The following is a 16,448-nucleotide window of genomic DNA, read 5'->3' as shown; positions in this document are numbered from 1 at the left end:
GCAAAACCAAAACAGTATACTTCCTTTGCTAATGGTGGCTTGGTAATGCCATGTCATCTTCACTTGTAGCACTCTGAGTTTCTTCCTCTTTCCCTACATCCCTCAACAGTCAGCTCAGATTGGCCTTCTTTATTTTGAAAACTAACTTGATCTGCAGCAATCTCACACCCCAAAGTCTTTATCAGCACTGAGCTATTTTCACTTCTAATTATTTTGCCAACTAACTGTGCAAAGTTGGGCAAGTTGCTATACCTCTCAGGTCCTAGTTTCCTCATCTGTAAAATGAGCATGTTAGATTAGATGCTGTCCAAGGTCAGTTCCACCACTGACACCAAGTGTCTAGTACAGTGGCTGGCATAGATACTGAGGTGAATGGCAGACACAGTCCCTGCCCTCCTGGAGCTTATAGCGAAATGGGGAAGAGACTGTAAAGAGTAAATAAATATGAAATCACAGCTCGTGATACATTCCAGGATGGATTGAATGGAATGATGCAATGGTGGAGAATCATGAGGAGATGTGCATTTGGAGACCTACTCTATTGATAAGACAGGTACCTCGCCATGTGAATAAGCAGGGAAAAAATGTTTCAGGTGGACAGAGCAGCTTATGCAGCAGCACTGAGGCAGGAGAGAACTTAATGTTTGAGGAATCAACAAAAGTTATTGTGGTTAGTATAAACTGTACAAAGGAGAGGTGTAGATTTGAGTATATTTACGAGGCAAAAGTGATCAACCAGAAAATTGTCAGTAGTTACAGGTGGCACTCAGTGTTTAAGGTATCAGCCAAGGATATGCTAGTTTGACATTTCATTTCAGATTATTCCAGAGTCATTGTGGCATTAGAGAGGGTAGTTTTTAAAAACAAGTTATCTTCTTTCTCTTTTGCCCATAGGAAATAAGAGCCTAACTAGTCCACTGCCTCAGTCCTGATGTTAAAAAAATGACAGTAGCCTGCAATATCTGGCAGGTGGAAATTACTGAGAGGGATAATTATTGCTCTTGAAAACTTGCCTAACTGAGCTTTGTGCAACATTTTGGGAGTTCACCAGCAAAGTTTGTGTGTTGACACAGGTGATGATACATGCTGACACTTGTTTGTATTGAAGATTTAGTAGCTTGGTAGGACATGGAAACAATACAGCTCTCCTGTTTCACCAAAGGCTTTTATTTGCTAGGTAGCCTATAACTTAGTGCTCTCTCCTGCTTTCCCTACTAACATAAAGTCATTTGCTTTTAATCCCTTCTATGTTCTATTGGCCAACTTACCTTCAAACACAGTATCGATCATGTCTTTCCTCATCCTCCTTTACTTGTTGTATCAAGTTCCGAATTCATACTCGAAGTCAAAGCCTCAATGACCTCCCACTTTTTCTTCTTCTAAAACCCCAGCCAAAGAATACACTGCAGTTATTTTAATATGTTTAAGACTTAATCCTGTATTCCTCTGTAAATCTTCAACCACCAGCCCAGGCTGGTGCTTTCTTGCACCAGTGGGATAAGCTCAATGACCGTAGAGCATACACGTTAAGACCTCTAGGTGATCGCCAAGAACTTTTCCCACTCAAATATCTAGTGACCTTCTGCCTTTATTCCTTTCTAATACGAGTGTTCCTTAACTGTCTTATGCACCTATGCCTTCTCAGGGTGCTGTAAGACCCTGGGATCAGCGACCTCATCTGTAGATTGTGTTGATCACATCCAGGGCTGAATACTCAACTCTGCTGCAGTCAAAGAGCATCAGATTTGCAGTCAGATCAATCCGGGTTTCAATGCAGCACTCTCACTCACCAACCGTGTGAACTTTGGAAGATTTTATTTCCTTTTTTTTACCTTCCTGAACCTGAAGTTTTTTATTTTTAGTCTTTAGCATTGGTTTTCTCCTGTGCCAGGAGGGTGGTGACGTGAAGGGAGTTGTTATATCATAGCAGATGTTCCACTGGGAATTTTAGAATAAGCAAGTTTTATGGCCACCCTGGTTACTGTTTTTCCTATTCTGAATTTTAGAACCAGTTGATAGAATTTTAATAGGGAGAAAATAATCTGGCAGAAATAGGACTAGGAGGAAATGTGAATTTGTAGAAATGTGCCTGAACCTTAGAGAAGTGTGATCCATCCAGTAGCTAATTACTTATAAGCCACTATCTTCTTGGATCTCTAAATTTCCTGTCCCTAACAAGCACTATCGAACAGATGCATGGTCCAAAGGTGTTCAGTGAAGGCAGCTAATCTTCAAAATTCAGTCTCATTCAAAAATCAGTGGACTGTACCTAAAAATACATTTCCCTTTTAGACAGGAGTTTGCAGTCACAAGTGTTTCCAGTAACCAATTGTTTGAGTCATGATTTGAGTCCTCACCTCCTCCATCCTGTCCACTTCCCCATGTCTGTGTGCCCTTGGGAAGCCCGAGACATGCAGAGATGGCTTGATATGTTCAGGTTCTCACCTCAGGTCTTTGTTAAGAATTTTAGAGTGAGGCAGCTCCAGTTCAAATCTCAACTGTCCTTCACTCACTGGCTTACAAAGGCAAATTATTTTACCTCTTTGAGGCTGTTTCCTCAGATATAAATGAGACAATTTTTATGGGAGCCCAAGCACAGTGCTTGCTTCTCAGTAGGCAGTCAATGGCTACTGGTTTCCTCTCCCAAGAGTGCCACATTTCCTTTCCTTTATTTACCTAGTTTGTCTTGCTACATTATTTCAGTGTCTGTTTATTATGGTGCATAAGAAATGTATACAAAATAGCTTTAAACACATTGTGTCTTATAGTACCCAAAATTATCACAAAGCCTCAATAAAGAAAAATGACATCTAAATTGTTCACATTCAGCAAGTCAGTTTGGTTGGTGGGCAGTGGATATTTGAGTTAGCATAAGTATAATAGATGAGACTCAGCAATTTTCATGTTGCAGTAGCTCTTCACCTACTTCTTGGTCATGTTTTCATTTCTCAATCCCACCTGCATCCTAATAACACAGCTGTCATTACTTTGAGGTACCATTTCTGCTAGCACTATAAGACAGCAAAGTTTCTGTAATAAATGACATCATCTACCCTGAGGGAGATTATTGCCGGTGAGCTCACTCCCTCCCTCCTTCACTCTCTGATTCCTTCACTCACTCACTGACTCCCTCCCTCCCTCCCTTTCTTACCTTCCTCCCTCCCTTTCTCACCTCCCTCCATCTTTTACTCTCTCACGCATTCCCTCCCTCGCTCACTCACTCCTTGCAATCACTCCCTCACTCACTACCTCAGTGTTCTCACTTTCTTATTCATCTTCTCCCTTCCTTCCTCCCTCATTTCCCTCATTACCCTCATTACCTCCCCCATTCACTCCCTCATCCCTCACTCACTCTTTCTGTATTAATACTTTGGGATGCAGTTGACACAGCCTCGTTTCAAATTAGAAAGACCTGTTGCAAGAGGCATCTCTCAGAATGGCTATGCCACTGAGTAGGCTTACTAGTAGTTGGGCTTCAGTAGCAATTGGAACCAACAACTTGAATGCCACCATGTTTTTTTCTCTTTGTGCACATCTTTTCTATTTTTCTTTTTTTGAGACAGGGTCTTGCTCTATTGTCCAGACTGGGGTGCAGTGGCATGATCATGGCACAAGTGATTCTCCTACTTCAGCCTCCCAAGTAGTGCCTGCAGGCTGGTCTCTAACTTGTGGGCTCCAGTGATCTTCCTGTTTGGCCTCCCAAAATGTTGGGTTTACAGGTGTGAGCCACTGTGCCTGGCTCTCTGTGCACTTCTGATTCACCCATATCACTTTCTCTGCAGACCAGCCTCCTCATCTTTTTGGTCTATGTGGCAAAGTGGTCCTACTCCAATAATTTGGGAGAGATACAGTGATGTAGCTTGGATCAGATGCCCATCTTGGGTCAGTCAGCCATGGCCAGGAGGGTTTGATCATGTAAAGACATGGTTGCTCCTTCAAGAATTATATGGCTGGAGTTAGGAGAAGAGCATGGAAGGGTTATGCCGAGCACGGAGTTCCGGAGACATCCACATACCCATCCTGCCATCCTAGGCAGTTGGCTCTTGCTGGGAATACAAAAGAACCCCTCTAAACTGCAGCCAAGTAGTGGGAGACAGATGTGCAACCAAATAAGTGTGATAGAGTGATATTGGTTCTATAGTAATGGAGGTACATGTTAGATAGGAATAAAGAACAGGCAGTCAGTTAGGTTAAGTCAGACACAACTAGCATCCGCGAGTAATGATGGCTAACAGGCCTTCTACAGATACATGAGCCAGTCAAATTGCTAGGTATTCTGGGTCTAGAGATAGCCTTGGCATTTTCCAAGCACAAATATTGTGTTCTTTTTTTATTAGGAGGCCTCTTTATCAGAGTGCCTTTTAAAATTATTTGTTGAGTTTTATTTACAAAGGAAGAATGAAGGACACCTTGACATATTTTTATTTTCAACAACTTGTCATGTTTTAGAGAATTCGGATGATCTAAATTTTAGTTCCTTTGATAGCTCTCTAAACTGTTTTTAAAAGACCTCAAACAAAACCAATCACCACTTTATTTTATAGCTCATATGATCTGGCCCTATACTGTTTTTGTTAATCACAGATTCCTGGTTGTAAGTTGAAGACATTATCTTGTTCTTTGTTAAGGGATGTAGGAGCCTTTGCCTTAGTCTCCATTGTTGCTATAGTGGTGACCTGCAACCTAGCCAGATGTGGGCTCATGTTTAGCTTCCTTTAGTGTGATCTTTTTCAGGCAGTGCATACCAGTCCTTTTTCCATCTCCTAGTACATTGGGTGGACTTTCTTTGTCTTCTTCCACAAATCCCCATCCTTTAAGTATGGGTGCCTCAGGCTGAGCACAGCTTGCTCCAGTCTCATTATTCTTGGCCTTGCCCTTCACATCCATACTTCACCAGAGATTTTCAACATCTTTCATGTCTTCTCTGTACCCTATGTTGCTTGCCCTAACATTTTCAAAAATTAGACTTTTTATTTTCAGATACTTGTAGTTTTGTGCAGTTATAAGAATTAATATAGAAAGATTTCCTGTACCCTTTATCAAGGGTCTCCCAGTGGTAACATCATCTTATGGAACTGTTGCATAATATTACAACCAGTGTATTGACGTTGATACAGTCAAGATATAGAACAGTTACCCTAATGTTTGGCATATAGGTTCCTTCTCATTATTTTTTCTTACTCATTTTTATACTCTTCTCTCCTTGCTCTTCTTACTTATATGTTCATTGACCCAGGGATTAGTTAACTCGAGGGTCCTACAGGTTTTACCTTCTCTTTGATAAGTTGGCTAAACCCTAATGTTGTTAGAGTTTCTAACGGTAGTAACTATTCATCTTGAAACGATTTGCCTGGAAAAAATATCATTTAGATGGCTCAAATTGGCCTTAAAATTCATGTGAAGACCCAGCCTTCTGGAGCTCTGCTTGCCTTAATTTCAGACAGGTCACATGAAGATGAAGAGTGTGGGGGGCTGGTATGGTACTAGTCCTTTGAGACTCAAGAGCCCTAATCAAAAGTAATTTCCCCCTAAAAGGACAGTTCTGCACAGAGGATGTGGATGAATGCCTGCTGCAGCCCAATGCCTGTCAAAATGGGGGCACCTGTGCCAACCGCAATGGAGGCTATGGCTGTGTATGTGTCAACGGCTGGAGTGGAGATGACTGCAGTGAGAACATTGATGATTGTGCCTTCGCCTCCTGTACTCCAGGCTCCACCTGCATCGACCGTGTGGCCTCCTTCTCTTGCATGTGCCCAGAGGGGAAGGCAGGTAGGTAGCAGAAGGACGGATCTAGAAACAGGGAAGGGGCAGGGGGCATTCAGGACTCTGCCTTCTCTTTCATCCCAAACAGCATATTCTTTGAGTTACCATCTATGGGAACATATCACTCAGGACTGTTCCAGAAATGTAACCTGCTAGCCAAAGTGCTATGAAGATAATCTTCCTCTTTAGGACTTTAGGCTCTCTTCTCAACTCTACATACTTTAGTTTTTCATTCCAAAAAAGGAAAGTTAGTAACTATTGTCTTTGGAACATCTGCTGAAGTCCTTAAGATCTTAGACTGAAAAGCACCTCAGCTATTAAGATAAAATGGCTAATAAATGGATCCACAGGCTTCATTTTAAGAAGAAACCATCTATTTACTCAGAAGAAGTTGGCAGGAGAGAAACATTTAAGTGCCTTCTAACCCTCAATGTCTATGAAAATATTCCCCTCAGGGAAGATTTTTACATGCTACAAAGTTAACATTGCTCTAGCCTCTCAATTTAACAACTACTAGTTCTAGGAGAAGGAGAGCAATGTAAGGAGGAAGGTGATGGGAGAAGATAATTTAGCTGGGAGAACTTTCTGCCCAGCAGTTTTGAAATGTTCTTTCATGGAGGCCTTTCCAAAAGCTCTAGCTCCAGCTTTGTGGAAGAAGCTTTAGTTACCTCTTCTTAAGTTAATTGCAGACTGGAAAATCCAGTTCCCATGTGAACTATATAAAACAGGAAGCCTAGTAATATCTTCAGAGACCTGGGGCCACCTGAATCAGGAATGTTGATGCTATTAAAAGATTACTCTAGTAGAGGCTGATGGTGTTCAGGTGGCCCCATGATCATCAGGTAGCATAATATTGGGGAAGTAGGATTCCGGATAAAATATAGGATGTATGGAATATTTGAGACATACTAAAAATTACTTCTTGTTTATCTAAAATTCAACTGGACATCCTCTATTTTATTTGCTAAATCTGGCACACTATCTGGAAGATAGCTCCACTTTCCTGTCTCCGTCTTCTTATCTTCTGGCCTGTAGATGTCTCTGTCCTGGAGGAGAGGTCTAGCTGAGAGCTCAGGGTCAGAGTCTAGGGTTGCATCTAGGTGCTTTGCTGGTGGCCAAGCATGTCCCCAAGGTAGGGTCAGGCAAAGCAGAAGTTGCGTATAAATCTCCATGTTGGATTCTGAGGAACTGATCATGAGGTTTTCCCTCCTGGGTGAAAGAGAAAGCTCTTCCCCAAGTGAGAGACATTTTCTCTTAGTTGTCCTTTGCCCCACCCTGTGACAGGTCTCCTGTGTCATCTGGATGATGCATGCATCAGCAATCCTTGCCACAAGGGGGCACTGTGTGACACCAACCCCCTAAATGGGCAATATATTTGCACCTGCCCACAAGGCTACAAAGGGGCTGACTGCACAGAAGATGTGGATGAATGTGCCATGGGTGAGTAAGCAGAACTTTTTCTGTTCTGTGAAGTGTCTGTTGAGCTCAGCAAATGTTTAAACTGAAGCACATTTTACTGTAGAAGCAAATTACATACACCCAAACCTCAGATTACTCTTGCTACATGGCCAGTGTTTACAAGTGACCTTTCAGCATAGCCATAACCATATATTCCATTCTGGGGATTAACTGTATGAAACGTATGTACTTGATTCTTAATATAAAGCCCTACCTCAATGACAGTTTGGGCAGAAACTGCAATAGCAGAAATGCATAACAGTTGAGGATACTCCGCTTTTATTTCTTTTTAAATTAAGGAAAAAAAAATAGAAAATTGGGAATGATATTATTGAAGGCCTGGCCCTGATGCTATAACCATCAGATGCTCTTCTATTGTTCACATTTGTGGAAACTCAACTGCTTTGATCCCAGTAATTGGTACTTGTGTCTTTCAGCCAATAGCAATCCTTGTGAGCATGCAGGAAAATGTGTGAACACGGATGGCGCCTTCCACTGTGAGTGTCTGAAGGGTTATGCAGGACCTCGTTGTGAGATGGACATCAATGAGTGCCATTCAGACCCCTGCCAGAATGATGCTACCTGTCTGGATAAGATTGGAGGCTTCACATGTCTGTGCATGCCAGGTAAATGGGCCCATCAGCATGTTGGGTCTAGAGAGGAGGGACTGTTCTGAACTTCTCTTGGTAGAGCATTCAGTATACTATTGCAGTCTGATGAGCTCTGTCAGCATTTGATTTCCTTTGCTGACTGGGGACTAGAGGAAGTCAGGGTTCACAAGCAAACCTTCCTTACTCAAAGAGTAAGGCAGTGCTAGAATTCATCAAGCTATGTAGACCAAATTAAACAAGCCTGTTATATCAAAATCCACATGTAATAGAAAATTTCAAAAATGATTTACTGTAAGAATCCTTTAAATAGCAAGTTTTCCTGATACCTTCATGTAATTACAAATACCATACCATTCCATTTATATAAATAAATTTTATCCACAATTATATAGGAAGTTTCCATTTATCTAAAGTGCAGTACATGTTTAGTTGTATTCTGGAGCTCTTCTGCATAGACCATGTCTTTAATTTTGAGAGGATACAGCCAAATCCAGCTTGAAATGATGGCTAACATTGGCTGCTCTGCCTGATTAAGGCTGCCGGCCACTCCAGCCTTGAAAGGCACTGCTGACCTTGAACTGCACCCTGAAGGCAACAACAGCTCCAGCTCAGCTTGTCTTTAGGAACATAGAGTGGGGACATTTTGGGCCTTCCACAGTCCAGAAAGTATGGATTTATCACAGAAAATGTGGAGCAGTCCTTGTTTATATGCTAGGTCTTGCCAATGTCTTTTAATGTAATCCCTTCCCGCTTTTCACAGTGACATGGGTATTTCACAGTATGCCCTGTCCTGCTTGACACTTGGAGTGACTATTTCTCATCATGGCAGAGTTCCTTTTTTCTCTGCAGAAATGTGTGTACTCGCAAAGGATGTAGTTATCATTGCAAATTTGTGCTTCCTTGTCTGGAATACACCTTTCTCTCTCTTTAAGCCACTTGTGTGGTCTGTTTTGTTTAGGTTTCAAAGGTGTGCATTGTGAATTAGAAATAAATGAATGTCAGAGCAACCCTTGTGTGAACAATGGGCAGTGTGTGGATAAAGTCAATCGTTTCCAGTGCCTGTGTCCTCCTGGTAAGTGCCCACGACCTGGCCCTGTTTTCTCTTAAAGCACAAAGCCAACTGACCACAGGGAAGAGAGCAGGGAGAGAATGTGTGTGGGCTGTGCATGAGGAAATCATTAGAGTAAGTGCTTGGTGATAGGAGTGTGTGTGTACAGAAATAGAGAATTTGTTTTAGCTACTATATCTTACAAGTCCTTTGTGGCCAAAAGTCCAAGTCTATTCTTGAATGGCCCATGACCTCTTCGTCTGTGTATATATTTCAGAATGCTCATACCTCACAGAAGCCTTAGTTGTAGGCTATTCGGGATTTTATTTTTTTCCCATGGGTCATATTCTTGAAGGCCCTCTGTGAGACTGTTATTTTTAGACATTTCACCCATGAGTTCAGAAACAGACAACACATGCCAATTTTTCCAAGATTCTCTGTCTCTCCTTTTTTTTCCTCAAGCTATTTTTGAAGATATGCCAAATTGTCCTCCATAGATTGCATCTTACCCCATTGTATCTTCAGAGAGAAGGTTTCTGTTGCCTCTGAAGCTACAGTTACTTGTTTGAGGTTCCACCTATAAATTTCACTTCCTACATCCTTCATTTAGAAGTGAAGTCTGTCTGTGAAGAAGCAATGGTAGAGACACACCACAAGTGCCTCTGATTCCCTGAGTGTCACCTGGTTATTCCAGTTACCTGTTGGGGAGAATAATAAAGCATAGGCTTATTGACCCATTGGTATAAGCCCTGCTAGTAACCTAACATCATTCTCATGGTAAAGGGAGACACAAGATAATCCTTTGACTCATGTTACCACTGTCCCTTTTTGAGGTTTCACTGGGCCAGTTTGCCAGATTGATATTGATGACTGTTCCAGTACTCCGTGTCTGAATGGGGCAAAGTGTATCGATCACCCGAATGGCTATGAATGCCAGTGTGCCACAGGTAAGATTCTTCTCACTTTTCATCTCCTTGGTAGGTCCATCTGAACAAAATAGGGTGATTGTCCCTGTCCTCTGCTAGCTGCTGTGCCAGGCCAGTCCACTCCCAGAGGCTCCTCTGTGTTTAGGAAGAGCTGTTTCTAACAAATTTTTTGCTGCTCTCTTTTTCTGCAGCACCTGCCTCCTCCACCACAACAGTGGTCTGGCCCAGATATTTCCATTTGGTATCCATGTCTTTCTGGGACAGATTTTGGCAGCAGTAAGTTTCCAGCTGGCTAGATTGACTCATTTAGGAAAGAGAAGAAATCCAGTTGAAAGCTATTTTTCACTGGGGCTTCTCAGCAGGAGGCCTGGCTCTGTGTTTCTTGAAGCAAGTGACTGAAAGAAGGCCCAGAAATTTAAAGGCTGAATGTGTACAAGTGCAGGGGTATTCTGCATAAAAGACACCAAAATAGGATTGAGAGTCAAGTGTGTAAATGACAGGAGAGAGAGCTCTCACTGGGAAAGTTTGGGTCCTCTTTGCTGACTTCTGCAACTAGAGTCAAAAACGATCTGTGCACAAATATTCTGCATTTCTGGGTTTGTAATCACATTTTGTACTTGGGATTGGATTTCAGTAAGCCAGATGTTCCCTATTACACATTTCCTTTTACACAGGCAAATATTATACAGAAAGGCTAGAAATTATTAGAAGTGAACTTCTTTATTATCTGACTGCTTGAGAAAGAAGTTATTTATGTAATTCAAGACATTAATTTTAGAGAATGGAGTCTTAAAGATTAAAGGCATCATGCATATAATTTATTTCTGATCACAGAAAAGCAAATTTAATTGTGAAAATTAATACAAAAAGTTAATATTTTAATTATTAGACCTACTTAGTTTAGGACAACTCAGATGAGCCACTTTCTTTCTTTTTGCAAATAGTTAATGCTTGTCAGAGAATCCAGATTTTGTCTTCCCCTGGCCAGATTCTTCTTGTAGAGGATAAGTTTCAAAGAGATTAAAAACCTTTAGCTCAGGTTTAAAAGTGGGGGGAGGACTCCTGGAGTCTTTTAGGGAAAGATATAATGTTTGTCTATTTACACCTCGAAGAAAGGAAATCTTACTTGTCTCTTTTTCTTTTAAATTCTCATAACAGGTTCATTCATTTTATTCAACCAGTATTTATTTAAAACTACTATATATGCATACTACTCTCAGAGGAGTTGAGAGAAGTAAAATAAAGCTCTCTTACCTCCAAAGTCAGAATTGGGGACATAAGATACATGAAATCATTAACCTGTATATTGGACTTGGGAAGAAAGAAATACAAAGATAAATATATAAAGGAAAAATATTTTGAGCTGTTATACCTGAAGCCTAGTAAGAAATGAAGGTGCAGTTAAAGCATCTCTGCAATGAAATTATTGATCAGTTGCGAAGGTATTTCAATTCTAAAATTTGATTTGGAAATCTTTATTTTAAGCACCTCTCTCCAGGCATACTTTCTAAATCAATGCAGATCGTCGTTTTCTACTGCTCAAGACCTGCAGTATTAATTGACCACACATCGAATGTGTAGAGTAAATGGATGTAGCTACACTTGTGTTCTGGTGTGGAATATCTGCCTTGGTCTTTGAGAATCCTTGATAAAATTCTTTCCAAAGGTTTCACTGGTGTGTTGTGTGAGGAGAACATTGACAACTGTGACCCCGATCCTTGCCACCATGGTCAGTGTCAGGATGGTATTGATTCCTACACCTGCATCTGCAATCCCGGGTACATGGGCGCCATCTGCAGTGACCAGATTGATGAATGTTACAGCAGCCCTTGCCTGAACGATGGTCGCTGCATTGACCTGGTCAATGGCTACCAGTGCAACTGCCAGCCAGGCACGTCAGGTAAGCCCACTCTGTTTATGTTTGGTATGGGGTTTTCACTGTTTCTCAAATCTGTTTACACAGATGTTTCAGACTGTTGGCATATGCTCAGATACCTAAAAAACAGTCCTGATTCTGAGAAGCACAGCCAAAGCCACAAACATAAATGTCTCAAGGCAAATGGCCCTAGCCAGTGGAGAAGTCAGAGACAATAGCTCTGCCAATCTGATGATTTTGTGTGTGTGTTTGTGTGTGTTTTGTTAAATAGAGGCATACCACTTCAAAAATTAAAATTAATGATTTAAAATTGAAAACCCTCTTTTTTGTGGCTATATTATCTTTTTTTCTTTAAGTTCCACCCCACCCAGATTAATAAATTCAGTCCTTCCTTCCTTCCTTCCTTCCTTCCTTCCTACCTACCTTCCTTCTTCCCTTCTTCCCTTCCTTTAATGTATTTTCTCTTTCACAGTTCAGTCTCTTTATTGTGACATGTTTCTTCAGTCACTTGTCTCTGGTGGGGCCTTAGCCATCTTGGGGGATTCTAAGGAAGAGGAGATACCTTACAACACACCACAGTAACTAAAGTAGAACGCAGAGCTGTCATTTCCTATCCTCGGAGTTCATCATTGTTCTCTGACCTTGGTTGAATGACTCCTTGTTGGTCGTGAGGACATGCTGCTCCTTTCTGGGGGGATGTGGAATTATTTTCTCAGGCAGCAGCATCTCACAGGTTTGGATGGTTCTGTTTTACTTATTAGATGAATGATTATGGTCACAACTATGGTTAGTGGACAGAGATGTACTATGTTCCAGATCAAAGGAAAATGTATTAGTGGAAGATTAACCAATGTGTGCCTTTGTTAGAAGGAAACCTGCCAATATAAAGGAGTGATTTATTGAGAACTCATTCTGGATGTAAGGAAAATGACCTATGTAGAGAGCAGAGGTGGAGAGGGTAGTTAGCTACCCTCATTTTCTTTTACTGTTTCCAAATCCATTTCTTCAAATTTGTCAAAGGCTCTGGTCTTTACCCAAGGCTTCATACATGCCAAGTTTGAAAACAAAGTCCTTTTTGAATTGCTCAAGCATACGAAAAACATCCCATGCCGTCACAGCTGAAAATGCCTTTCCCTCCCCACATTTAGATAACTCACTAAAAGGGCTGAATAGATCTTTGTGAAAACTTCCAAAAGCAATTTGCTTCCGGGCTGTTCCTCAGACATGAGAAATTATAGTAGGAAAAGAAATTTGAGAGATTTACAAGCAATTGACTGGATGTCTTTAGAATCGAGGGGCTTTAGACTTTGCTATCATTCCCATCATAATAAACATACTGGAAACCTGGGTGAGTGGTGGGTTGGCAAGCACTTTGTTTTCTCTGGCATTATATCATTATACCAGGATATATCAGGTGTTTTCTGGGGAGGACAGAGAGGGTATGGTATAAGTAGCTGTCACTGAGAAGGTGAGAAGTCAATATGAGTGATCTGTAGGCAGCATGGAAAGGAAGGCCCGGAATCTGTCAGAACCTGCCAAAGATGTTCCTGCAGTTATTTGGAGAATTAAAGCAAGCAACGGTCAGACAACATTAAAAAAATGTTGATCTGTAATGGGTGGAGAAAGACCTGGCATGTATCAGGGACCTGGGTGGAAAATCCATTAAAAGAGGCATTATGAATAGAGTCTGAAGTTCTAGAGTAAGAATTCCTGTTCCACTTATATGGCCTAAGTTGGTAGTTTGGTGTTTGGATAGGGGAGTGGATGGAAGAAATATTTTACAGTTTGTCAGCTAAAATTGTGGTAGTCACTCACTGGGTACTTAAAGTGAGATATACTACCCAGAGTTACCTTCAGTGCGTTCTCTCATCTGTGCTTTTATGATAGTAAAGTTTTAAGTAAGTTTCTTTGTGTTTCAAGTAACAGACCAACTTGAGCTAGTTTAAGTCATCATTTACAAAAAATAAACAACAACAAAACAAAGAAACAGAAAGAGCTTAGCGAAAGCACCCAGAGCCTCTTATAGATTCCAAGCAATTGAATAATAAGGCTTTGGAGAAAAGAATAGGAAACTGGGCATTTGTAGACCAGAGGTCACACAGTCTGTGTTTCAGTGTTGTAATGAGAGAATCTCATTGGCCTGGCTTGATCCAGGCATCTTTTCCTACTCAAATAAACCATGGACAGGGGGCTGGAGTCACATTGGATCATCAGGGCTTCATTGGGAGGGGGTGCTGCCTTCTTAGTTTGAGGGTAAAGCAGGGTTGTCAGTCAAGGGTTAGAAACATCTCCTAAAGGTATCCACTCCTCTGCAGGGAATATGGAAATCTTTCCCTCATTTATGGCTAATTAGGCAGTATAGCCTCATTAATCATGGGATGACAGTACAGTGTGGTGGAAAGAGGATGCTGTGGAGCCACACAAACAGGGTTCAGAGCCCAGCTTTCCTGCCCTAATGGTGGCACTGTGCAGGTCAGCCCTGTTGTCTGTAAAATGGGTGTAACACAGACTAATGTGCAGGGTGGGTGACAGGGTTAGAGAAAACTTACATGACAGGCAAAGCAGCGTACTTTGCTCATAGAACTCAATAAACTGTTCCTCTGTAATTATTATTAATAAACATTATTGCAGAGTATGGGCACAGTGGCTCATACCTGTAATCTCAACATTTTGGGAGGCCGAGGTGGGACGATTGCTTGCGCCTGGGAGTTTGAGACCAGCCTGGGCAACATAGCAAAACCTCGTCCCTACAAAAAATAAATAAAAATTAGCCAGGTAAGGTGGTACACACCTGTAATCGGGAGGCTGAGGTGGGGGGATAGCTTGAGTCAGGGATATTGAGGTTGCAGGGAGCTGTGCTCGTGTCATTGCTCTCCAGTCTGGGTGACAGATCAGGACCCTATCTCTGAAAAAAAAGAAAGAAAAACAAAGTATGAGTGAATCACAAGTATGGCATTTTATCCTGGATGTTTTGTTTTCTTATATTCTCATTACCAGTTTTTATTTTTAGTCTTTTTAAACTACCAAAATATTATTCTGTGATACTCAGAAAGCATCACTAAATTCATACAAAAATAAAAAGTAAATATTGTTACCATTATTTGTAAAGAGATATTTGTGAAATATATTACAAATATATTTCACAAATATCTCTTTACAAATAATGGTAACAATAATGATTGTATACTGTTAATATAACCAAACTCTTCCATTCATCTGGGCAGTAGAGCAAAAATAAGGCAGCTTACCTCAGGAGGAAGTTACTAGACTCAAGATTTATCCTGAAATTTAGCCTACAATACTGACAGGCAGTGTCAAGCTCACAGTGATAGATACAAATTCCAAAATCCTAATTTTGATTTGAAAGCTTAAGTTTTATCTTTGGCAAAAATACTGTCAATTTGCTTTTCCTCAAAATGACAGGTTTGCTGCTTTCACTTAATATTTGCTAAATACTCAATTCTGATTAACCCTGGTTTGCCTGTCAGTTGCTCTTTCAATTAAAATGGGGTTTCATGAAGAAAGCAGCTATTTCAACTCACAGCTCAAACAATAGCATTATAGCTCTTCCTGGAGACAACTCTCATACTTGGCATGCCACAGAAATGCTTTATGTATACTTCCATTTCATCACATGGAGTAGTAGACATTACTCAAGGTTCGAGATTTATTAAAATTATAAAGTTACTAATTTTAACTTCCAACAAAGCCACTCTTGAGTGAAACTGGCGTTTTTGCTTGTTTAACTGTGGCATGTGGAGGTGAGCAGTAGAATAATTATAGTACAGTCTGGTTCTACTGCCTTGATTCATGCTGATGTGATCGGTTTCACCCCATTGCCTCTGCACCATCAGTTTGAATGTTAGCACAGTGAAAAGGAAAGATCATGGCTAAGTATGATTAATAAAATCCTTTGGACCTCCTGTATCTTCCTGAACGAGTCTGTGGACTGCATTTTGAGAACTTCTGCTTTATTCTGTCCAGGGTTGGCTGGAATTCACCTTAGATTTCTTACCACGTTGCTGCATCACAAGCAGAAAGCCTTAGTATTTCTGTGGTAACATTGAATGGTTTCCGTTGGGTTTTCTCTTCCAGGGGTTAATTGTGAAATTAATTTTGATGACTGTGCAAGTAACCCTTGTATCCATGGAATCTGTATGGATGGCATTAATCGCTACAGTTGTGTCTGCTCACCAGGATTCACAGGTAAAGCTCCTTTTACTGCAAGGCCCCTCCTTCAGCCCTATCACTTTGGGAATATAGCATCCAAAGGAATATTGCTTTTCAAGTGTTTCCTATTTCTTTGTCACTCTGGAGGGTTAGTAGTCTGTTTCTCTGCTTCTCTAGATCAGTTTTCTGTTCACAGACCTTTTCTAAACTGAAACATACTTTTCATTAATTAGAGTTTTTCGATTATGTGTTTATTTGCTGCCAGAAAATAATTCCTAGACAGACCATAAATTGCCTTTGCTTTGCTTGAGTTACATTGCTTCCAAAGCTATGTTTATTGATTACAGGTAGTAGTCAAGGCCTTCCGTAAAGACATATTCAAGGTAAAATCTTATGAAAATACTGAATGCTTGCTTCTGGGTACCTCCTCTTTGACATACTCAAGGTAGAATTCTGTGAAAATACTGAATGCTTATTTCTGGGTACTTCGTCTTCTGAAATATTGTTGGATGAGGTCAGAGCTTGGGGAGACCACCCTAATTTGGGTAGCATGAGAGAGATCTTTCTGCCCAGGAGGAAGAAAGTAAATGGCTAGA

The 16,448-nt window shown here is 40.9% G+C and overlaps 1 protein-coding gene across 2 annotated transcripts in view; it reads left to right on the top strand.

The window, feature by feature from the left end:
• The window catches only part of NOTCH2 (notch receptor 2), a 158,110-nt gene that overhangs the window by 94,383 nt on the left and 47,279 nt on the right, over positions 1-16,448 (top strand). For both annotated transcript variants that reach the window (NM_024408.4, NM_001200001.2), the window contains exons 6-12: positions 5,536-5,769; positions 7,048-7,203; positions 7,659-7,847; positions 8,791-8,904; positions 9,714-9,827; positions 11,473-11,706; positions 15,778-15,888. In NM_024408.4, coding sequence (NP_077719.2) covers positions 5,536-5,769; positions 7,048-7,203; positions 7,659-7,847; positions 8,791-8,904; positions 9,714-9,827; positions 11,473-11,706; positions 15,778-15,888 — 1,152 coding nt within the window. The remainder of the gene's footprint in view (positions 1-5,535; positions 5,770-7,047; positions 7,204-7,658; positions 7,848-8,790; positions 8,905-9,713; positions 9,828-11,472; positions 11,707-15,777; positions 15,889-16,448) is intronic.

This window comes from Homo sapiens, chromosome 1 (assembly GCF_000001405.40).
Source record: "Homo sapiens chromosome 1, GRCh38.p14 Primary Assembly".
Classification (NCBI taxonomy): Eukaryota; Metazoa; Chordata; class Mammalia; order Primates; family Hominidae; genus Homo; species Homo sapiens.
The sequence above is the reverse complement of the archived record's forward strand: the minus strand, read 5'-3'. Positions and strand labels throughout refer to the sequence as shown.